The sequence below is a fragment of the Homo sapiens genome, chromosome 10 (assembly GCF_000001405.40).
Source record: "Homo sapiens chromosome 10, GRCh38.p14 Primary Assembly".
NCBI lineage: Eukaryota > Metazoa > Chordata > Mammalia > Primates > Hominidae > Homo > Homo sapiens.
In genome coordinates, this window is record NC_000010.11 from 48,966,030 (window position 1) to 48,990,600 (window position 24,571).

The window sequence follows — 24,571 nt, forward strand, 5'->3', positions numbered from 1 at the left end:
TGGGATTTGCCTGTGTTCTTTGGAATATTTGAATGGATGCTGTTAAAGACTTGTGTTGATGCTTAATGAGCCTGCAGAGAGTTGGTGAGGGAAGGATGAAAACTATGAGAAATAGGTTGAGCCAATAAAGGGAGCCACGTTATCTAGGGAACGAAGAGGGTCACTCCAGCCTCATGATTGAGAGACAGTTCTTCTGGGGACCAGGGGCTCTTCAATGAGGCCAGTCTTCTCCCAAGCAGCTTGGGAAAGGAGAGATTTGGCAGGCAGAAGGGCTGCCTTTATGACCTTGAAAAAGTAGCTGTCCCTCTGTGAGCCCCAGGCCCCTCATCTGCAGCGTCTGAGGGCTGGACCAGAGGTTCTGTTCATGTTCAGCTCTGTCAGGAACAAGCCGAGCTGTGGCAACCCCCAGAGACAGGGTGCAGCTACAGTGTGCACAGGGACGACCCCTCCTCTGGGCATCTCTCCCCTCATGTGTGTCTGTTCCCTGTCTCTCTAGCTCTTTACCAAACCTCACCCAGCCAGGACTGCAGCAGGGAAGCCTCTGCCTGGAAAGGATGTCTCCACCCCCGTGAGCCTGCCTGGCCACCCACAGCCCTTTTTCTACAGCCTGCAGTCGCTGAGGCCCTCCCAGGTCACGGTCAAAGGTGATTCCCTGGCCATGCATTGTTTGGTGTCCTGTCCCAGGGTTGTCCCTTCAGTGGCTGGGTTCCTCTGGAGGTCCAGCACCACATACCTGGGCAAAGTATTGGGGACTGACTTTGAATGGCTGCATCTCCAGTCACAGCCAGATTCTAGGGGGGTGTCATCTCTGGGAAGTGTCTAGGAGCTCCTCTGTTAGACCCTAACTTCTGAAGACCCACGTCTCTCTGTCTTTCTGTCTGTCTCTCTCACACACATACACACACAGACACCTCTTTCAGGCACACACACACATCTCTCTTCCTCTTCCTCTCTTTTATACATGCACACACACATGTACACACACATACCTTCTCTCCTCAAGAGACCAGTGGAGAGTCCCAAGTTTCACAAGGAAGGATTACAGCCTCTGTGCTTTGGCCACTGGTCCTCCTAAGCAGGGCAGGGGACTAAGCTAAGCACTCTAAGCAGGCAGCCAGTAGCTAAGAACATGTGCTCTGGGGCAGATGGCCCAGGAGTGCATTCCAGTCCTACTGCTTCCTGACTGTGTGACCTTGGGCAAGCCATTGAACCTCCTTGTTCCCACGGGGATTGGAATAGCATTGAATGGATGCTACTACAGATTTGTATTGATGCTTAGATAAATGAGCCTGCAGAGAGTTGGTGAGGAAAAGATGAAAAACATGAGAAATAGGTTGAGCCAGTGAAGGGAGCCATGTGATTTAGGGAGGGAAGAGGGTCACTCTGGCCCTATTATTGAGAAACAGTTCTTCCAGGGACCAGGGGCTCCTCAACAAGGCCAGTCAGCAAGAGCGCAATGAGATGGGCCACCTTCGGTGCCCAGCACATAGTGGTGATTATTAGTCCATCTCTTCTGACCATAATTCAGTGGCTTCCTTGGCTGCCACCAAGGCTCAGAGAGGCTCTATAGAAGCAGGAGTCCACTGGGGTGGGGGTGGTTCCACTGGGGTGGGGGTGGTCCCAACCAGCCCAGGAGGGAGGATCTCCCAGATGGAAGCAGAAGAGAGGGTGAGGCTGGGTTCCTAGGGCCATGTATGTATGAAGTCGGGTGCCAGTGTCATCTGAGGACATGCACTGCCTTGGGGAAATCCCACTACACTGAACAACATGCAGGTCCCAAGGAGTATGAAGTTAAGTTTTCAATGGTTTTAGTGGTGTCCTTTTTTATCCTTGAAGTCCAAGAACAGTGTCATTGGCACACCCCACCCTGGTAGATAAGGTGCTACTGCTCTTGGCTCTGGGGACCATGCCTCCATTTGCCCCAGGACTGGGGATCCGCTGCTGCATTGAAGTCCCTGGGCAGTCAGGCACAGCCCCTGCCCTCATGGAAAGGGACATGAGGTGCAAACCACATCAACAGTAACAAGGGAGCTCAAATCTCCCATGTGGGCTCCAGGAGACTGATGCAGATCTTACCAGCCACGGGTCCTGGGGATCCTTCCTGAGGCTCAGTTTCTTCATGTGTAAGGTATGGAAGACAATGGCCCTGCCCTCAGGCTTGTGACAGTGCCATGAAGTGGTGTCTGTCACACAGGCAGGCAACAAGCCAGCGCTGAGGCAGGAGTCCTGGCAGATGCTGGTGCCACTCCGAGCACACACACTGGGCCTTGCTTTAAGGGGCCTGGCTTTACTCTCTCCCTTTGATCTGAGCAGCCCCAGAAGGTAAGGGCCATTGATGCCACAGTCCCTTCCCTATGGGGAGAGACATCTCACAGTCTTATCCTGGAGCCTTTCCTGAATCCTGCTCCCTCTCTTCCTCCTGGGTGGTAGGGTCAGGAAGAGGGTGGTTCTCCCACTTCACCCAGCACAGGGCAAGGAAGGGAGTGGCCCCCACCAGGAGGAAGGAAAGGCCCCTACGTGGTGGGTATGGTGTGCACAGTCTTAGAAACTAGGCTGGCCTCAGTGTTTTGAGTCAACAAGCTGCACCAGGCTCTGTGCCAGGGGACACACATTGAAAGGGGCATGGTTTTCTCTACTCCATGGGAAGAGGCTAGGGTCTGAAGAGATGGAATGACTTCACCAGCATAACCAGACTTGGAATGAGGTCTGGGCAGCTCCAAATCCCGTGCTGTGAGCCATATTCCAGCTGGGGCTGGGGGTGGCTCCCAGAGTGGAGCTGAGGGAGGATGGGAATTGTGCCTCCCTGTGACTCCTGCCCCGGGGCCCGGCTACAGTGGGTGCTGTCCTTCTGTGCATAAGTTCAAGTCCAGTGTGTCTGCCTGTCACTCCTGCCCAGGGCCCAGCTGCAGTGGGTGCTGTCCTTCCATGCTTAAGTTCAAGTCCAGTGTGTCTGCCTGTGACTCCTGCCTGGGGGCCCAGCTGTAGTGGGTGCTGTTCTTCCATGCATAAGTTCGCCATACTAACTGGGGTGTAGATATGTACCTCTTTTCTCTAGGCTCAGAGTCCCCCAAAGGGGCCATTGGCCACATTGTCTCTACTGAGAAGACCATTCTGGCTGTAGAGAGGAACAAAGTGCTGCTGCCTCCTCTCTGGAACAGGACCTTCAGCTGGGGCTTTGATGACTTCAGCTGCTGCTTGGGGAGCTACGGCTCCGACAAGGTGAGGGGGCTGCAGGGAGCAGGGGCAGCCTCAGGACCTCAGCCTTCCTCCAGCTGGAGGCAGAGATGGCCCAGAGATAAGTGAGTCCAAAGCAACCTCGCTCACTTTCCCTACAAGGTGTGCTGCCAGCCTGGGCGGGAAAGGACTCAGTGACCATGCAAAGGCCCTCCTTGGGCCGGGCCTCAAACCCTCCTTCCAAGGCTTGCAAGTTGGCAGTGTATACTGTCACCTCCAGAGCAGAGGCTAACTGGACACATGGCCACATTGAGCCCACCCACACTGGCACTAAGTGTAGGAGGGAAGTCCTGGGGGCTCCTCTGTTTCCAATCATGATTTAAACTCAAAGGACACATGTTGAGCATTTGGGGGCTGGCAGGAGCAAGCTGTTTCCCTACTGGTCCTCCCAGCCCCCGTGTAGGCCATGCAGTCACCTCTGCCTTCTTGATGTGGCCCCTGCCCTCCTCCTCAGGCCCCATTCCTACTCCAGCTCCCCTCCCCTAATCCCATCACTTACAATGAATTCCCTATCCCCCAAGCTCTCCCCAGCCCCTCCCTAGCCTTGCCCCACCAACTTCTTGAGGCAGGCATGGAACTCAGCCCCACATGTCCTCCCTCCTGACCCCCAAGCTAAGCCACCCCGTGCTGGTGCTCATGGGGTCTTCCCAGCATCCCTCACTTGTTTCTTCCCACCTGCTGGAGGAGGAGCTCCTGCGTGGGGTCCCAGGATGGTCTGGATTTTGTCACCAAGAACTGGCTCCTGAACACATGGCATGTCCCCAGTTCCCAAGGCACTCAGACTGGCCCACATACCCCCGTGACTCTATCCTGGGCTCCTGTCCCTGCTGTCTCCACAGCAGCGCTCATCCCCCTTATCTCCTACAGGTCCTGATGACATTCGAGAACCTGGCTGCCTGGGGCCGCTGTCTGTGCGCCGTGTGCCCATCCCCAACAACGATTGTCACCTCTGGGACCAGCACTGTGGTGTGTGTGTGGGAGCTCAGCATGACCAAAGGCCGCCCGAGGGGCTTGCGCCTCCGGCAGGTATGGTCCAGCTCGTGCAGGTGCGGTCCTCAGGTGGGGACAGTACTTCATGTAGGGACAAAACCTCTGCCTGGCATGGCACCTGGGCAGGTGTGGTGCCGGAACACACCCTAACTCTGCTCACTGAGGGCCCTGCCACCCTCAGAAGCTAGGAATGAGCGAAGTGAGGTGCAGAGGGTGGCCCACAGCTCAGTGTCATTCAGGAGTATCATTTTATTCCCATGGTGCATTTGACAGGTACACAGGGCAGGTGCCTCCACAGAGGCCCACACCTTAGCGAGAGATGCCGGGCCACACACAGTCACTTCATGCACATGACAGGTCTGGTGAAATCAGTTTCCTTACATCAGATAATATTTTTTGAGCATTTTGCCACAAGTTGGCCTTTATGCCAAGGATTTTTACACGGATTGCCTCATTTTAGCTTATTGACAGCCCTGTAAAATAGGTGCCATGATCACCCCTACTTTATTGGTGAAGGAAAAATGAGATGCAAAGAAGTTTAAGTGGTACATCCAAGGTCAAATGAAAGACTTTCTGAAAGGAAGTGGTTGAGGTGGGAGGAGGAGGAGCCATGAGCCAGGAGTCTGAGGATGTGCACCACCAGCCCTCATAGAGAATGCTAATCGCAGCGGCACTTAACGTTTGCTTAACATTCCAAATGCACCAAGGCCCTTCTGTATACTAATTTTTTTCTATGAAGAAGGAACTATTATTTCCACTTTCAGACAAGGAAACTGAGGCTCAGAACAGCTTGCATTTGAATCTAGGTTTGTCTAACACAAAACCCCATGCGCTCTCCCTGCATACTCCGGAACTTGCTCTAGAATATCACTAGGGGACACTTTCAACTCTAAAATCCAATTCATTTCTGCATCTATTTTTTAGTTAGCCACAGAGCCCTAAAGTAATAGAAACAAAAATAAGCTGTACAAAATCACTCACGCCTGTAATACCAGCACTTTGAGAGGCTGAGGTGGGCGGATCACGAGGTCAGGAGATCGAGACCATCCTGGCTAATACGGTGAAACTCTGTCTCTACTAAAAATACAACAGATTAGCCAGGCGTGGTGGTGGGTGCCTGTAGTCCCATCTACTCAGGAGACTGAGGCAGGAGAATGGCGTGAACCCGGGAGGCGGAGCTTGCAGTGAGCAGAGATTGCGCCACTACACTCCAGCCTGGGTGACAGAGCGAGACTCTGTCTCAAAAAAAAAAAAAATTCACCACTGACCAAATTTACTAAACTGAACATGTTTCACTGAAACATGTTCTCTGGATAATTTTCACTGAAACATGTTTCACTGAAACATGTTCTCTGGGGTTCTCTGGATAATTTTCAAGCCACTTCTGTCACCCTAGACCGTGTCCTTGTCTCCTGGTGCCATGCAGGGCATGGAGGGTGCTGCGTGGGCACTCAGCAAATGTGAGGTGAAGGAATGAATAGGGCAGTGCGAGAAGGGGCTGACACATATGCAGGGGCAGTGCACCCCTGAGAGGCAGCTGTACAGGCAACAGGCAGGTGACCTTCACCAACTGCTGTTGTCAGTGGGCTGGGTATGATTCCTGATCTCAGCAAAGGGACTGGAAATGAAAGACTGGAGTGCTCTCTCCCCAGCATCCCCATTGCCCATTTACAGCTTGCCCTGGGGACTGTACATAGTTCCACCTGACCCTGGGGCTGGCCTTGGGGTACTGGGGCAGTGATTTTTCTATCATCCTCTGAGTTCCCATTTAACAGTGAAAATGCACAGAAACACCCTCGTATCGACCTCATAAAAATGTAATTTATCATCCTCTCCTACTTCCAAATCAACAGGAAAAGATATGGGAATCCCACATGCTCTTATTTTCTAAAAATAAAACACTTTATCACTTACCTGTAAAGGCTAATGTAGGCTTGCAGATTCCCCAGACCCATGGCTGCTCAGTGAAGGGGTCCATTCCTGACCTGTGGACAGGAAAGTCATCACTGAAGAGCCTCACAGGCGGTTCAAAAAGTATTTTATTTTTAAAGATACTGCAACGTTAAAGAGACATTTTAAAATTACTTCAAAGACAAACAATTCTCTACCATCCCTATAAAAGTTTTCAATTTTGCATACTCTTATCCCCAGATATACATATTTATATCTTTCTGATCATTGTGTAGATATTTTATTCTATTTTCACTCAGCCTATCCAATTGTTTCCATTTTTCTACATTCTCTATAATTTACATTTCAATCGTTCCATATCATTCCATTTCCATAAAATTGCATTTCGATTGTTTTGTTATGTCAGTGCACTACAGTTTAATAAACCATTTCTTCTAAAACTAGACAATTAAGTTGTTTCCAAGTTTTAACTATTTTACATAGTGCTGCAGAAAACATCTTATCTAGGTTGCTGTTTGCTTCTGATTGTTTTCTTGCGATAAACTTCGAGGAGGAGAATTATGTACAGTGACATGGTGCTTTCCAAAATGGTTCTGTGACTTAATCATACCACCAGCAATCAAGAGCACCCGTTTCATGGCAATGTAACCAGCATGGGGAATTATTTTCCGGGGTTTTCTTTTTGCTATCGTTTTTTGCTACTATAGTTAGGTATAAAATGATATAATGGAGTTATTTTAATTGGCCTTTTAGAGAAGTATTATTCTGAGAAAACAAAACCCCCTTTGAAGCTGCTATCTCTTCCTTGATTTCTTCGGCTCTTGCAAATGGTAGGTGCTGGATGCCTTGTGGTGCTGGAGTCTCCAGGCTGGTCGGAAGGCAGCCAACCTGACCTAAGTGGGCAGTGCCAGGCACACAGGCTGTTTCCTGGGAAGAGCAGGCAGACTTGGTTCCACTGGTAAACAACACGTGCCGGCACTGGGGCTCAGAGCTCCTCTCTACATCCTGAGCCTTACACCTGGGTTCCCTTCTCTGTTCTCTTTGGCATTGCTATTTCCCCTGCAGTCAGAACTGAGTCATCAGACTTAGTTCATTCTGGGAAGAGATTCAGAAGGTTCCTGTCAACTCCTCTGCTTTCTCCTGCTCACTTAGGCAGTTTTCATTTTCCTAGGATGACCCAAATCTTCTTCTGTGGGTCATACCCATTAACTTGCCGGCACCATCTGGTTGGCGTCATGTTAGGATCCATTAAGGACAAACAGGAGCTTGTGGCAGAACCTTTCATTGCTATGACCGGGCAAAGTGACAGCTTTGAAAAATGACGCTTAGCCTCATTGACCCAAATGAATGAGTGATTGTCTCTGCCCTGAGGGTGGAGGTTTACCACTTGGTAAGCCAGGCCAATTACGCTTCAGAATGCCACCTCCGTGCCCCTCCGGCTGAGTCCAGGTGATGGCAAGCACATGTGAGCAGAGGACCTCAGATCAGAGCCTCTGGGACCTGCAGCCTCTGGAGTGCTGGTGATGGAATCCACACCATTGCCTGCAGCAGTTGGCCAGGGGGTACCAGCATGTGTGGTGGGCCACTTTGGCCCCTTGGGGAAGTGTCCACAGAGAAGAAGGCCTCCAGCCAGATCTGGACACACAGCCATCCATGAGTCAGACCAGGCCCCACACAAGCCAAACCTGAGGACCAAGACCAAGGACGTCTAAGTGTCCCAGTGGCTATGAATCCAGACCTATCAGACTCGAAAAGCCCCATCTTTTTGATGACCATGTGACCTCCCCTTTTCTTCTTCCCAGTTTAGTTCAAGAGTGCACGTGCCTCTGAGGTTCCCTTACCGAGATGGCTCTCAAAGTTGGGCACATGTGAGAATCCCCTGAGGGCTTGTGAAAATTCAGACTTCAGGGCCCCATCCCCAGCGTTTCTGATTCAGGAGATTTGGAGTGGAACCCAAGAATTTGCATTCTAAGAGGCTACTTGCTGCTACTGAGCCTGCTGGTGTGGGCACCACAGTTTGCCAACAGTGCTTTGTATGTTAATCGTAACATGAACTGGCCAGGTGTGATGGCTCACACCTGTAAACCCAGCACTTTGGGAGGCCAAGGCAGGTGGATCACTTGAGGTCAGGAGTTCAAGACCAGCCTGGCTAACTTGGTGAAACCCCATCTCCACTAAAAATAAAAAACATTCGCCAGGCATGGTGGCAGGCACCTGTAATCCCAGCTACTTGGGAGGCTGATGCAAAAGAATTGCTGTACCTGGGAAGCAAAGGCTGCAGTGAACTGAGATCATGCCATTGCACTCCAGCCTAGGCAACAGAGCAAGACTCCGTCTCAAAAAAAAAAAAAAAAAAAAAAAAAAACAACTCATGACATGAACTGCTCCCGGGTTCAAGATAGATGTAGGGCAGCACAAAACATCCAGGTGTGGCTAGCCTCTGGTTGGGTTATAAGTAAAAAAATGGTTTCTCCCCAGCAGAGCCTCCACCCCTGGAGATGAATGAAATGGAGAGGCTAGTCATGGACACGCACATGCACACACCCCCAGCTGCACAGACAACAGACTTGGGAATCACTGACTCACTCAGAATCTCCATTTCCTCATCCAGCACCCAGCTTTATAGGGAGGGTGAAGAATTCCCAAAAGTAGCTGAATTGAGGGTCCCTCTCCTAACCTGTGAGTCTCTGTCCCCAGGCCTTGTATGGACACACACAGGCTGTCACGTGCCTGGCAGCGTCAGTCACCTTCAGCCTCCTGGTGAGCGGCTCCCAGGACTGCACCTGTATCCTGTGGGATCTGGACCACCTCACCCACGTGACCCGCCTGCCCGCCCATCGGGAAGGCATCTCAGCCATCACCATCAGTGACGTCTCAGTAAGTCTCCTGTTTCTCAGTGTCCGTGTCCTCACCTTCGCAGTAGCATGGGGTACAACACTCAGGAGAAAGCCCAGAGACACAGAGACTCTAGCCACCCCAGAATGCTGAGAGGGCCCCCAATTGTGTGGAACAGTCGCTGTAGATCTCACTTGTAGCACCCAGGTCTAGCTTCAATGTCCGCTTCTTTACTTTCCTCCCTCTGGTGTTGGGGACAGTGGGAAGTGTCTGCTTTGCTGCGGGCACCAGGGGGCTGCAGCTGAAAAATTGGCTTTTAGGGAGGGTTTTGTTGGATGTGGCTGACTCATTTAGGTCTTTACCTTCAAATCAGTGTTGACTTGGCAGGTTTGGTCTTCATGGCAGTGCAAGCTTCTCTGCCTCTCCTTCCATACTGGCTAACAAAGACCAGGGAGATCGACTTACCGGTGTGAAATTTCTTCCAGACTGAAGCCCTGTCATGGGATATGGGGTTCCCTGAGGATGCAGAGGTTTCTGCATCTGCTCACAGAAAACCTAAGGGGCCCAGGGCATAAATAAAATGGGCAGAGGGCTCAAAAGAGGAGGGATGATATAGGAGCTTCCTGGTTCCAATTTTTGCTGAAAGTGGTGCTCCAGGTAGGCTTGAATTCAAAACTGGATTCAATGTTAGATGAGTAGATGGAGTGTGAATGGATGGGTGGATGGATGGGTAGATGAGTGGATGCATGGGTGGATGAATGGATAGATGGATGGACGGGTGGATAGATGAGTGGATGGGTAGATAGATAAATGAATGGATGGATGGATGGATAAATGAGCAGATAAATGGATGAATAGGTGGATGGAAAGATGGATGAAATGGATAATGGATTGGTAGATGGTGGGTGAATGGATGGATGGGTTGATGTATAGAAGGCATTGAAGCCTTCACCTGGGAGAATATAAAACCCATCAGGAATTGTGTCCCTAGACCCCAGAGAAGCCTGGCACCAGGACAAGTTGTCCTGCAGCCAACTGATTTCAGTCTGTGCTTGCTGGTTGTGGGGCAGAGAGGTATCAGACATGGCCTCTGGCCTCAGACAGACCATCCCTAACAATTCAGGAACTTCTAATGGATCCCAGCCCAGTGAGATGTGGAGGGGCACTGAGCACCCTACATCCCTTCTGTGATTAGGGCAAGGCTCAAAGGGATGGCCCCAGGACCTTGGTGACAGTGGCCACTATAGAATAAACAGGACTTGAGGAGGAAAGACTCAAATGTGAGCATATCAGGAGATACAATGGGGAAATTTCTCCTTAGAAATTCCCTCTTCAGGGACATTGCACAAGCTTATGAGCCACATGCAGTCATTGGAACTTCTGTACCCTGCCATCCACCAGGTGGCATCCAAAACTTCTTTATGGGGCAGGGCTGACCTACCAGGTGTAAGCTGTGTGTCCAAAGCCAGGGCTACCCTTCAGGCTGGATCTTCTGTGGCAGTCAGGGTGTGGTTGGGGAGTGGGATCTGGGAGGAGCCTGAGGGTGAGCCAGGTGCCTTCTGCCAGGAAAGAAGTATCTAAGCACATGACTGCAGTATGAAAAGAACCAAGAATTTACAACTGTGTGAAAACACAGCAGACCTGTAAGTCAGCTGGAAAGAAGTTTTGGGGTACCTTGGGGGTCTTCAGAGCATGACAGATTGAGAGTACTTGGGTGTACCAACTGGGTAGCTGAGCAAGTGGCTGATGGGCAGGCAGTGACTCCAGCTTAGAGTGATGCCAGCTCTCACTGCACAGGGCACCATTGTCTCCTGTGCGGGAGCACACTTGTCCCTGTGGAATGTCAATGGACAGCCCCTGGCCAGCATCACCACAGCCTGGGGCCCAGAAGGAGCCATAACCTGCTGCTGCCTGATGGAGGGCCCAGCATGGGACACAAGCCAGATCATCATCACCGGGAGTCAAGACGGCATGGTCCGGGTAGGTGTGTCTTGGGCAGAATGAGGACATGACACAAGAAACGTGTTCATCTCCATTCTTCTCACTTCCTCCAGGGGGCCAAACCTGCAGGTTGCATTTGAGACCATTCCAGAACGGGTACCTACAGCAAAGGAAGGGAAAAGACAAGGCTCTTTGCAGGGAAAAAGTAAATAAATAAAATTATATATATAGTATTACACACACAGACACACACATGCACACACACACAGACACACACTAAAATAAATACTGTTACAACATATAAAAGTTGAATGGTTAAATGCAAAAGATTATATCCCAATGCTAAAAGGAGATATTTGCGTCATCCATTCAAACCAAACTTGCCCACCCATCCACTAATTTATCTACCCACCTACCCATTTATCTCTCTACTCATCTACCCACCCATCCATCCACCCATCCATCTCTCTATCCACCCATCCACTCATCCATCCATCCATCCATCCATCCATCCATCCATCCATCCATGTATCCCTCCATGTATCCATCCATCCATCCATCCATGCAGGCTGAGGTACCTAGGCAGTCCCCTCATAGGACTTTATCTGTGGCCTCTGCAGAAAGCAGGGCATCCTGGGATGGCCTGGGCTTGGTGGGGTGTGGCCCACATCAGTGGGCCAGCCAGAGGAGCCTGGGGTGGCCGAGCTGCAGAGTATATTACTCTCCTGGGCCCCCCCAAAGCGTAAGTGAGGGTCTTCTGTGCACTCAGCACTCATTCATTCGATGTGGTCACTGAGCTCCTGGACTGGCCCAGTGCTGTGCTAAGCCTGGCGTGGGGCTCACAGAAGCATTTGAGAGGAGGCTGGTCCTTGCCCTTTGGTGATATAAAATCCAGACCCAGTGAATGAGAAGCCATTTTGAGTGAGTTGGCCTCAGGGCTCCCACAGTAGGCTTAGCGCCAAGGGCCAGACACAAGATGGGGGTGCCCAGCCACCCAGGGGTGAGGGAGTACTCTAGAGGTGGTAGCATTATGGGCAAGAGGGCATTGGTTGAGCAAAATGGCAATAAACTGGTTGCAGAGTCACATCCCTGCAAGAAAAGGGCTGTGGGGGTCATGAGATGCACTTAGGGACATGGGTGGGGTAAATTCATTCAAGGTGCAACTGTGATTGGCCAAACCTCTGCATGAGGAAGCTGAAGGCTAAATAACCTTTTACCTGATGATAAGTTAACATCAGAAGTGAAAGGGGGGCCATGTGTTCATCCTTTCCCTGGGGGACCCCTAGGCGTGAGGAAATGGACTAGGCCACTCCAAGCTTGCAGACAGGATCGTCTTCCCCGCCGATGACATTTGCTCTTTTGGGGCAGGTTTGGAAGACTGAGGATGTGAAGATGTCTGTTCCTGGACGGCCAGCAGGAGAGGAGCCCCCGGCTCAGCCTCCAAGCCCAAGAGGTACCTGACCTGCTAGGGATGTGGCCGTCCTGGCCTTGCCCTGCCCTCCTCACCTCCCCTCTCTCCACCTCAGCCCAAGGGCTGCAGCTCCTCCCAGGTCTGCCCAGCCTAGGGAGGCCTAGGAAGGCACAGAGAGGTTCAGTGACTTGCCCAAAGTCACCCAGCAAGCAGACTATCCTCACACCTGCTGCCATCACAGCCACAACGGCCTCAGAATAACCTAACCATAGACACTGGCATGTAACCACCATCACCAACCCCTCCATAATGAACACAGGTACAAACCTCCCCATCAAAGCTGTTACCGCATCACATCCATCACAGCTGTCCAGTCCCCGCCCCCATCATTACCTCCTCCAGCTCAGTCTTCAGAAAAGATTCTGGCCGAGAACTGGGACATCTTTACTGGGACCCACAATCAAACATGTTTTCATGAAGTTAGAATTCTATCATCCTGAGTGCTTCCATTAGCTCCCTGTTTGCTCTGCATCCCAGAACCTGTGATCATCCATAGGAGAGAATTTCCCAGATTTCTGAGGGCTGCCTTCTGAAAAGAGTAGACATTTGCAATTAGTTCATTTCTAAAACACAGTCCACACCTCTTTGATTCATTTAGTCACCCATTTGTGGATTCTTCTTCAGGCAAGTACACACAGGCATTTGCTCAGCCTCTACTGTGTCCTAGGCTCTATATTAGTGGTCCCTTCCTTCAAGATAACACCTGGGGACCCTTGTAAACAATCTGGGCTGAGCCAAGGCAATAACATCACAAAGATCAATAATATCACAAAGATGCAGATCAAGAACTCCGTCAGTTCACAGGTTCTGTTTCTCTAGGGTACTTGGAGACCACCACAAGGAGTCAGCCTATCTCAGTGTGAAAGGACAGAAGTGTGTGCATTCTAAGGAACCCAGCACATCTTTGGAAAGCAGAGGCCAAACTCCCTCCCATATCTGCTTCCACTTGGAAAGGCTCTTATTCCCCAGCCTGCTTACAAAGCAGTTTTCTGCTATACCTGCATGAGACTGCACACCATTTTAGTTTTGGGCTCAAATGCCCACTTTTGAAGCTATTGGGGCCCAGTAAGCTAACGGCATTAGCTAAGCCTACGGTTGATGAATGGATGTCTGAGAAAGAATGCTGGATGGATGGGTAAATGGATGGATGGATGGAAGGATGGATGGATGGATGGATGGATGGATGGATGGATGGATGGATGGATGGATGGACGGGTGGATGGATGGATGGATGGGTGGATGGATGGATGAATGGATGAATGAAAGTCACCTCAGAGCCATTCAGTTGATTCTGGCAGTGCCATTGGATTTGCAGGTTCCTATTCAGCATCAATGGTTGTGGTGAGGTTGCACTCACTGGTCATGGGGTCTAGTGAATGAGAAGCAGAGTAAAAAGCAGGAAACAAGGTTCTAGACCCAACTCTGTCACAGCAGCTTCTCTGGTCTTCTGTCAAATGGGGACACTTCCTGTGCATCCTAACTAGTAGAGTACTGATGACAGAATAATAGTAGCCACAGACAAGAATCTACCCCAAATGCAGGTCATTATTGTCATTTTTGCAGGCTTTGAGAGATTTTTCTCTCTGGACACAGCAGCTGATGGCATTAGGAAACTTACTTAAGGGGGTCTTAGACTGACAGGGAGCCCCAGATCCACAACCTTCCTCTCTGTCTGCCCTGACCCTAAGTCTCTGCCACCCCATTGGACTGACTGCCAAGATTGTGATTACAGTTCAAGGGAAGATTAACATGAAATGACAGGATGACATGGACATATTCAAATAATCACACTGGCCTGCAGTTTAGAGTTAACAAATCTAAAATATGTGCAGATTTACAAGCCTAAACTGCTGGAGGTCTCTAATAAAAAGGCATGTTGTTCTTACATTGCTCAAAACTGCTTTGTTGGAAAGGGACCTGTATTGGGCATGGCACGTGGATATTTGCATGTGTGTCCTCTTGGCGTGTATATTACTATACCCCTCAAATGTCTTAAGGGGCAAGAAAGGAGATCTTTGAAGATATTAAGCATACTGCATTTGTGGGCAGATGTAATCCAATTTCTGCTTGGAATTCATTTATTTGCCATTTGCAGCAAGGCCCAACCCAGCTGAGTACAATTTATTTCAGGAATCGCCTCAAAGATTTGGACTCAATCTGGTACATAAAAAGTGCTTGGGAGAAGCTTGTTGTTTAGACTTGTACACAATGTACAAATGCCTGGTGTGCTTTGAGGTGGTTTCTCCCACCTGGACCCCTCATGCATTTCCTGGCACATGGCCTGTCTGCACACATGGGTGGTCACCTCAGGACAGCAGGGGCTGTATCATCTCTCCTGCCCTGAGTCCAAGGAAGTGGCCTCGCAGGGACGTACCCAGCTGGCGTCTCTCCATCTCACCCTTCACATTGAAGGAATTACTGTCTGTCCCCAAATGCAGTCATTAAAATGAGTGAAGTAACAATCATTGAGTTATATTTTTTGAAAAAAACATTCTCAGCATTTAATTACTGGTTGTGGCGTGAGAGGATTAAGATAAGTTGATAATGCCGACTTTATGTAATTTATTTTTACTAGGCAATTACTGGCTGCATTACACCCTGGCAGCAAGGTATTGTGGGGCATCTTATTAAGCATAAAGCCAGTAAACACTGATGAACAATTTTGCTGAACTAGGCATGCAATTTAGAAAGCAATAATACACAAATCCAATTTGGTACACAATGGATACCGAGGCACGTCAGCACATGTAACTATCACCGCCTGCAAATTAAATTGGGACGGCCCTTTTTGCAACAGCACAGGCCAAGATTAAATATATTTCCCCCTCAATTTAACAAGTTGCTGACCACAAATATAAATATGTGCGTATGTGTTTGCGGCCCCGTGTGCAGATGCACACTGTATGTGCGAAGCCGATCTGGCGTTCTAACTCTTCTCTCACATGCTCCACACAGGCCACAAGTGGGAGAAGAACCTGGCCTTGAGTCGAGAGCTGGACGTTAGCATTGCTTTGACAGGGAAGCCCAGCAAAACCAGCCCCGCAGTGACTGCTCTGGCCGTGTCCAGGTAAGCGCGGCCTTGTTTCTCTGGGTCTCCAGCAGAGGGCACTGCAGCCACCTTTAGGAAAGCCCCAGTGGCTCTGAGTCCAGGCCACCTGGCCGAGGAGGCCACTTCACTCCAGGACATGGCCCCACCAAGCACAGGAAGCAGCCCGTGTGGCCATATAGAGCCCCAGGAAACGTTTTTCAGGGTTTTGTTGTTGTTTGTTTTGCTTTTAACTCACACATGCCCTTGCTCTCTTGCTCTTGAATATCCAAACATTCATTAAGAAATCCAAGAGGTATAAGTATATTGTTTTGTAATTTTATCCTAAAGAGAGCCTTTTCCCCTGAGTTCCACTGCAGACTGTAACATTTGGTGTGATGATTATCCTTCATTAACAGAAAGTGCCTTCTGAGGGCTCTTAGCTGCTGTAGCATAGCCAAGCATCAGTCCCGACACTTCATACCCGTTATTTGACTCGCAGTAACCCATGGAGGTGGTTACTGTCATTAACATCCTTGTACACACTGCGAGGTGCAGCCTTAGGGGCCGCTGACCTTGCAGAGCCGGACTTCCTTCCTCCCTCACTGGCGTGGCGTGGGCTGTTCCGGGGTCCTTGGTGGAGGCACTACACAGTGTTTTAGATGCTGGGTGGGGCGGAGTGGAGTGGGGTGGGCATGATGGTAGGGCCAGAGCCGCACTTTTTGCAGAGAACTTGCCATTTGTTCTGCCCTGGTCCTGGCTATTTCTCTGGTGGGACAGGAGACTCACCTGGAGGCACTGGAGAGAGGCACGGCCTCGTCCTGTTCCCTGGGGCCTGAGCTTCCCCACAGTGCTGTGGGAGCCACCACCCTCACAGCTCAATGCTTTCCCCTCCCCCAGGTGGAAACCTTCTCCATTCCTCCCACTGCCTCCCCTGCCTCAAGGGAGACAAGACCAGGGGCAAGCTCCGCTGGGCCCCAGATAGAGCCCCAGAGTTGCAATATCCCATGTGCTGGCGGGGACAAGTGGTACTGTCCCTCTAACGTTCTTGTCTTTTCTTTCTCTTCCCAAGAAACCACACCAAACTCCTGGTTGGTGATGAGAGGGGGAGAATATTCTGCTGGTCTGCAGATGGGTAGGAAGAGAGAGGCAGCAGAGGCTCTGGCACAACAGTGCCAGGCTGAGGGTGGCAGAGGTGACTGGGGCCTGAGCTCTGCCTACAGAAGAAACCCCCAGGGCCTCCTTCCCCACAGTTCTCAAGGAAGGGCCTCTGGCAATCACAGCTCTGCAGCCCAACCCTCTCCATGGCCGATGGGACTTCTATGAAAAGGATGAGCACACACACTCGGAGGGCTGAGCAGCACGCTGGAAACTGTGACTTGGTGATGCCCAGCTGCACACGAAATTACACATGACTCACCTTATTAAGGGCTATTGCACTGAAAAAAAAAAAGATGGGTCGCTTACTGGAAATTATTGTATTGTCTTTATTTTATTAAAGCAACTATGTTTTAAATGCAGAAGGGCTCTTCAGTTTTAAACTGCCACTCTATTCCACTTACCATGCTGCCTTTCTAAGTATTTGTGTTTCTGTCCTGAGAAAGGCAGGAAGGCTTCAGGGAAGCACATCCACCTGCACAGCCTCACCCAGCCCCTCCCCATCTTCCACCTTGGACACTGGCTCTTCCCCGTCTTGCCCATAGTGTAGGGGCCTGAGGAGTGAGGGGCTACTGTGAAGAAGGCCCAGCCTCTGTGGCTGAGCCGCAGGACATGGCGGTGGGTGCTGCCCATGGCAGACTCAGGGAGTTTGGCCTGGGGTGATACACCCGCCTTGGTGATACTCCCACCCCCATCTCCACAACCTGCAACAGACAAGGATTCCAGACAACTCCTGGCTCAGCAGTCTCTTCCCAGGGCCCCGGTCCACACTTGGCTTCCGAGCTGCAGTTCTTCCTGGAGAAATCTGCACTGCTGTGTGACTTTTGTTTTCCACCTGAAAATGTATGGCAGGTGGGGTAGTTACTCGTGCCCCTCTGAAGAATTCCAGTACCTTCTTGTGCCTGGGTCATTCTGGGATTGGTCGTTGGGCATCACAGGTATCACCCTCACTCTAATGTCTCCTCCTTACCCCAAGATTTGCAGAGCTCCTCAAAAGGAAATCCACCTGCCTTTTTAATAAAGTCAAGCTCAGGTGGACACATAGGGACTTGGGGAGGTTAAGCTTGTTAGCTTCAACTAGTCTTTCAGAGATCTCCCTTCTAGGGGCCAGGTGGGGATCCTGATCTTCCCCATGTCTCCAAACTCTGCAAAGGCCCTGAAGGGGGTCCCCACCTAATTTAGCCCAGGCCCAGGGATAGCAGGAACATGCACTTCATGTCTTATGCCCCATGGGTCGTCTGGCCTCCAGGGGGCAACAAGTTGATTAAAAGATAAATATTAAGAAAGTGGAACTGGTGTGCAGCCATGTCAAAAATAGTGAGAGGTGGTTAGCATACCTTGATTCCTCTGTAAACTCTGAGGCTTTGCAAAGGAGAAGATGGAGGAGACCCTTCTCAGGTCCGGAGCACCCCTCCCCGGGTGAGAAGCACTTGTGTCTGACCCCAGAGCCAAGGATCACACCACCTCCCACACCATCTGCACACACTATTAGCAGACAGCCCATTTGCAATCCCCTGGTTGGTCTGGGACTGCACTGAAGGACCATAAATTTAAGAGCAGAGAGCACCACTCCCCAGGAAGGCCAAGAAGCAGGGTCATAAATATCAAGGCTGAGCCTGCTGGCATTTTTCAAAACACATCACAGCATTACCCAAGGCTGACAAGGTCTGCTGGCCAAAAGGCTGTCTTCGATTCCTTCATTTAAGTGTTTTTGCCTTTTCTTCCCCTCAAATCACGGGGAAAATGAGGAGGCAGTGTTGGGTCTTATTGGTGGGGTCCTGGTGATGTGGTGTCTGCAAACAAATGTGACTTGAGGTGAAAGGGCTAAAAAGGAAATCTCAGGCCCTAGGGAAGGCAAAGGGGACACTCAGCTATATCAGTTGGGTGGGGCTGCCATAACAATATTAAACAGAAATTCATTTCTTCAAAGTTCTGGAGGCTGGAAGTCCAAGATCAAGGTGTCACAGGGTTGGTTTCTTTTGAGGCCTTTCTCTTGCTTTGCAGATGACCACCTTCTCCCTGCATCCTCACCTCATCTGTCTTCTGTGCACATCTGTGTCCTCATCTCCACTTATAAGGACGCCAGTCATATGGGATTAGGGTCCACCCATATGACCCCATTTCAACTGTCTCCAAGTACAGTCACATTTGGAGGTACTGGGGGTTAGGATGTCAACATAGAACCACTCCAGGGACAGAATTCAGCCACCTATGGCACTGGCTGAAGGAGGTGGCCCTGGAGCCAGGCCTGGAACCTGCTGAGACAGAGGGACGGGGTTGCAGGAAGACTGGGCTGCATCGGCCAAGGTACAGGGTGAGTCCGGCTGGGTGTGGGAAGAAGAATGGAGGGCACACGGGATGAGGCTGAGAGGTAGAGGGGCTGCTGCTCCTGGCTGTGGAGTAGACTCTGGTTACTGGATGGAGTGAGTGCAAGTGAGGCTGGCAGAGGTGGGCTGCCCACCCGCAGAGCTTCATTCTCCATGCCAGCTCCCAGAATGTGCCCCACAAGAGTCAGCTGAGTAAACGGACATGTAGACGTATGAATGAGTCTTGGTGGCAGACATGTCAGAAAGGGTGGTCCTGGGATGGCAGGGTCAAGCAGCAGCCCCTCCGTGGGCAGGGTGAAGCAAAATGGAGTGAAGAGGTGGGAATAATGAGAGGAAACTGTAAATGTCATGCCCTGGGCCCGGGACATGTCAGGGGAAGAAGCCAGGAGCTTGGGAGCTTGTGGTGAAACCGTGAACGCCGTTGTCAGAAGCTGGAAGCTTTAGAGGCATCCATGAAGCAGGGACGGGCTGTGGGTGAGAATGCCCCATGGAGGAGCTGGGGAGACTGCAGGAGACAGGCTCCATGCTGAGCTGCTCCAGTGGGGTCCTCCAGGATTAGCTCGCATTGCTGGGAGGAGGGAAGCCGCTCTGCACCGAAACCTGGGAGACACATGCACCCTTGGGCCCTCACAGACATGGCCCTGCTGTAGACTCCCGAGGCATCGGAAGCAGAGTCCGCTGCTGGAGGCGAGGGCAGGGGAGCAGTCAAGCCAGGATGGGGCTGCAGAGGAAAGCACCAGGCACAACTGAGGCCCAGGCTCCAAAAGCTCTGGGCAACTCCAGTGACAGGAGGCCCCTGCTGGCCCGAGTGGACTACGATGTCTGGCCAGCAGGGTTGGGGCTCCTGACAGTTGTCAGTGGTTGGGGGAGCCCAGGGCAGAGGCCTGGGGTGCAGGGAGAGGAGAGAACAGGCTCAGCACCCAGGCCCACAGCAGAGGCAGCAGAGGTAGCCAGGGCCGAAGCCAGGGGCACAGCCTGCCTGGGGCCCAGAAGCAGGACCATGCAGACACTGGCCTCACCAGCACACCAGGTCCAGTGGGGACCGGGGGACCCGTCCCAGTGCCACATGGTATCTAGAGGCCTAGACAGGAGGACAGGCATATGCGGTGAGTGGGTAAGGAGGCCAGGCCACCTGAGCACCAGGCCCAGCTCCACAAGTCCCGCCAGCCTTGGCCACAGCTTCTGTATCTGTGAAATGGGATCCTGGTGTCTACCTCAGGGCTCCTCAGGAAAGTAACATCATATCTTCTTATTTTATAATAAAATAAAATAATAGTGGATGAGGCAAACAACAGACTGCCTATTCCGCTGTGACGCAAGCTCTTGGCTGCTTCACTCACCAGTGTTTTCCTTGCTCAGCCAGTCCCTGAGCCAGGGCGCTGGGGATGGAGGAACCCTGAACCTGGGACACAGAGAACATGGGACAGCAGGCTCAAGACATCTGGCAGGCCCCACGCCCAGGGTTAACCAGGCTGGAGCAGGGCAGGCACGCTTCAATTGTGCTTCTTCAGAAATGTCTGGGAAAGGAGGTCCAGCTCTCAGGCTCCCCCGGGCCCACAGACTTTGTGCCTGCTCATGGGGAACAGAAGCCTCAGGCTGCATATGTCACCATCTCCCAGGGAGCACAGGTCCCGGAGTCTCCACTCTGTTGGGAGGAACTCCAGCACTGACAGCAGCAGGCTGGGGTGAGGATGGAGGCAGGCGTTGCTGCCCACCCTGTGGTCTCGGGACAGATGGCCTGTGAAGGGCTTCCCCAGCCTCTGGGGTCAGAAACCCCCATATCCCACTCACTTTTCACGTCTGAGATCAGCTCCTAGACAGCAGCCATGCCCCACTCTCCCCCAGCAGAAGTCCCCTCACGGAACACCCACCTTGGGTCTCTCTGCATTTTCTACATCCTCTAAGAGGCCAGGGAAGGGCAGCCCAGAGCAATTGATGGGCATCCCTCCCACAGCAGGCACCCAGGAAAGCAGGGATCCCGATCGGGCACCACTGTGCTTGCCTGAGACCAGCATCCAGGCGTGCTGGAGTCCCTCTGGGAGACGAGTTCACCCACAAGGGGGGCCGCACGCTCAAGCTGTGCCCATCTCTCCACCTGGACAGGCCTGGCCAGACTGGGACATACTTATGCTAACAAAGTAGTCGTTGCTCATCGGAGATTCAACTTTTTCCAGGTGTCTTGCATTTGTGTTTGCTAAGTCTGGCCGTCCTGCTCCCTTGACCTCTTAGGCGCAGGAAGGATGGTGCCTTGTCAGCAGGCCTGGCAGAACCCATAAGTACTCAGTGTGTGACCCATGAATTGCTTGTATTCAGTGAACTGAAATGCAACAGCAGAAGTTCTTGGAGGGACCATGTGGGACTCTCTGTGCCACTGACCAAGTTTCCAGGGCTTTCTGTGTCCCTCCATGGCGACCTCATGAGAACCACATCCCCCTACCCCAGGCTGGCCTTCTTCTTCCATTCCTTTGAGCTCAGGGATCCTGGGAGAGAAGTTCTGTCCCCTGGAAGCCCCTGTGACAGCAACTTCCTCCCCCTCTGGGGCCTGCAGAGAACTCAAAGATTGGATTTAACCACATTAAAATGCAGCCAATCAGGACACATACGGGGAGGAATAGGCTCTTCATATGAAAATCCTGATGAAATTTGTTTAGCATAAAATCAAATCTCTCTAAACTAAAATCAGTTTTGCTTTAGTAAGTTCTTGGGTACACATCCACATCCCATACCTGGATCAGGGTGTGTGTGTGTGTGCAAGCTCACGTGTGATTGTGTTGTTTCCAATTGTTCTCTTATTGGATGTTGCCTGAAGCACCTTCATGACCTTCTTAGTAAACAGGAAGACCCTCCAAATTGCGTCCTTCCCCTGAGACCCTGAAGGCTCAAAGAACACTGTTGTATCCTGAGCTAAGATCTCTGTCTGCCCCAAAACTGCTTGAAAACTGCCCCACTTGTCCAAGACATTTTACTGCCTTTTGCCAGAAATGCAGCACCATAAATACACAACTCTATGATGACTTGGAAGTGGAATGTGCCACCAAATCATGCAGCACACACTTTGCATCCCTGTGGCCTTTGCCCAGGCTTTAAGCACCGATGGATCTTCACTAAAATCAGTGTGATGATGTTATCTTAACTATCCATCCAAGCACTTGTTCATTCATTCATTCATTTATCCACTAGTATTTAACAAGGATTCACTGCATACCTGTTCCCAGCCAGGCTTGGAGCCTGATGGAGAGAGGCTGTCTGGACACAGATGACTGAAATGTAACCTTCAAGAGTCTCTGGCCATCAGGAGACACACAGACCCTCTAACACTATCACTTTGGACATGTGGAAGCCAGGGTCCAGAGAAAGAAAGGGACTTGTCTAAGGTCACATAGCAGGTCAGTGGCAGAACCTGGTCAAGGCTCCAGGTTTACTCCCCACCCCCAAACTGTAGTACCAAGTGCCTAAGGCCTTGTGTTCCTTAGGATGGGCCACTGGCATAATGAAATCCAAATAGCCTGCCTCTCCCTGGAGCTTTGGATGTCAAGAACAGCTGGCTCTCCCCACCTCAAAATGAAGCACAAAGGAAGAAGGAAAAGTTCATATGCTTTTGAAAAATAGAACAAAATGCATCGGAATCTTTGTGTCATAGAGGCCAGCTTGAATTCCTCCTGCAACAAGGAGCTCACTACTACAGGAAGCAGCCCCCCGTGACAGCAAGGCTCATTCTTGCTGGGAGCACAGGTCACGCAGGCCCCTCCATGAGGCAGCCTCAGCCTCAGAGCCCCTCAGGGCAGAGGCTTCCTCCTCCTCCTTCTCCTCCTCTTGCAGAGATCACCAGGAGGCCAGTTGCTCTCACAGTCCCCTCTGCGGCACCTCCAGGCTCTTGGGGCTTTGCACACCCTCAGCCTCAGCTGTCTTTTCCTATGCTTATTGTTTTATAAAATAGAAGTAATAATTACTGACTTCATAAGTTGCTTGGAAAGTTAAAATGACATAACTCTGTGTCAAGTTCTTAGTACAGAGCAGGAGCTCAGGAGGTAATGATGATGATGGTTATCAGTATAAACGTAGTTTATGACACAGGGCCTGGTAAGAGAATAGTGACTTCCTTTTCATTTCTTCTCTCCCTTTCAGAGGCATTGCCCCCTCATTCAAATGTTCACCAAATATTTCTCATTCCCATACCACCTTCAGGATTTTTTGACAACACCTGTACAACAATATTCTTAGTGTTTGTCATTAACTTCACTATTTTTTCAAAACTGAAACCTCACCTAAGCAATAATGTCTGTGAAATCACAGGTTGGATATACAGTCTATGTTTTTCTAACTACATAAAATGGATAGAAAAAATGCTTGTCTATGCCTGCCTTACAAGCATCTCATGGTGCTTTAGGGGGTCCCTAAGCCACACTCTGGGAGATCTGCCCTAACCCAAGATGCTGGGGTAGGCATGTGTTTTGTTGGAAAGCAGATGGCCTAGAAGAGGCCCTAGGTATGTCCACCCGAGCTAGGTGAGCTCAGCCGGAGCAGAAAAGGGACCCACTGATCCCCACCTGTCATGGCGTGCCTTCCATTGCACCTGGGAGAAAGAGGCACGGGGCTGTGGTGCATGTTTACAGGCCGATCCCTGGGTTCCAGGCCTGCCTTTCTTTCAAGAGCTAGGTAACTTTGGGGGAAATTGACTGATCTACCAGCTCGTCAGTGTGTTCTGCAAAACAGTAATCAGGGAACCATTTCGTAGGGCTTTTGTGAGGATCTGAGGAGAAATTGCATGTGAGGTGGGAATCCAGCGCCTGGAACTTGGGACGTGCTCAGTTATGCAATAATGACAATGAAAGTTATCATAACCATTATTATAAGATCATGTATGTCCAGTATCTGTGTGGCCAACATCAGGAAGGGAATATCTTTCTACCAGTTGCTCAGGCCGAAAACCTCTGAGACATCTCTGAGTATGCCCCTCCCTCATGCCTCACGTCTAAGCTCTCAGGACATCTCAGCCCCAAAAAACTGTCAGAAATTGAAACTAAAATCTCAATACCACTTAGAAACACATCAGAAATATGAACCACTTAGGACTAATATGACTAAAATACATATAATCTGAAAACTACAAAAACATTGTTGAGGGAAATCAAAGACCTAAATAAATGGAGAGCTACACCGTAGCCATAGATTAAGAGACCCAATACTATTGAGATGTCAGTTCTCCCCAAATTGAGCTACAGATTCTATCTAACCCCAGTGAAAATTACAATGGGCTTTTTTGTAGAAACTGACAAACTAATTCTGAAATTCATATGAAAATGAAAGGATCTAGAATAAGTTAGAGCCTAAAAACATTGAATGAAGAACAAAGTTGGAGGATTTACATTATGTGATTTCAACTTATTAGAAAGCTTCAGTAATAAAGACAGTGTGCTTTTGACATTGAGGACAGAGAAATCAATGGAACAGAATGGAGTCCAGAAACAGACCCATGTGTGGTCAACTGGCTTTGAAAAATGTGCCAAGGAAATACAGTGGAAGAAAGAGCCCTTTCATCAGACAGCGTTGGAACAGTGAGGATCCATGTGCAATGAAAAAAACAGAACTGTGACCAACACCTCATGCCATCAAGAAAAATTAATTTTAAATAAATTTTAGACCTAAAAGTGAAACTTAAAATTATAAAATTTCTAGAAG

The 24,571-nt window shown here is 50.5% G+C and overlaps 1 protein-coding gene, 1 long non-coding RNA gene and 1 other non-coding gene across 12 annotated transcripts in view; 1 reads left to right on the forward strand and 2 right to left on the reverse strand.

Annotated features, from left to right (window-relative positions):
* The window catches only part of WDFY4 (WDFY family member 4), a 298,084-nt gene extending 281,157 nt beyond the window's left edge, over window positions 1-16,927 (forward strand). For 8 of the 9 annotated variants that reach the window (XM_011539988.3, NM_001394531.1, XM_017016463.2 and 5 more), the window contains 8 exons: window positions 497-644; window positions 3,035-3,219; window positions 4,102-4,260; window positions 8,833-9,012; window positions 10,768-10,950; window positions 12,280-12,364; window positions 15,338-15,449; window positions 16,480-16,927. In XM_011539988.3, the coding sequence (XP_011538290.1) occupies window positions 497-644; window positions 3,035-3,219; window positions 4,102-4,260; window positions 8,833-9,012; window positions 10,768-10,950; window positions 12,280-12,364; window positions 15,338-15,449; window positions 16,480-16,546 (1,119 nt within the window). In that variant the 3' untranslated portion in view covers window positions 16,547-16,927. The remainder of the gene's footprint in view (window positions 1-496; window positions 645-3,034; window positions 3,220-4,101; window positions 4,261-8,832; window positions 9,013-10,767; window positions 10,951-12,279; window positions 12,365-15,337; window positions 15,450-16,479) is intronic. The other variant, XM_011539987.3, reaches the window with a different exon arrangement.
* On the reverse strand, window positions 10,907-20,929 carry LOC105378298 (uncharacterized). 2 transcript variants are annotated; one of them, XR_007062370.1, is made up of 4 exons: window positions 17,270-20,929; window positions 13,653-13,751; window positions 12,716-12,911; window positions 10,950-11,071 (listed from the first exon to the last, which is right to left on the reverse strand). It is a non-coding gene; the product is annotated as an uncharacterized LOC105378298 (long non-coding RNA). The 2 variants fall into 2 exon arrangements; XR_945949.3 differs by lacking the exon at window positions 17,270-20,929 and having other exon boundaries at window positions 10,907-11,071; window positions 13,653-15,342.
* On the reverse strand, window positions 19,483-19,558 carry MIR4294 (microRNA 4294). Its single transcript, NR_036182.1, has one exon. It is a non-coding gene; the product is annotated as a microRNA 4294 (primary transcript).
* Window positions 20,930-24,571: the final 3,642 nt, after the last annotated feature.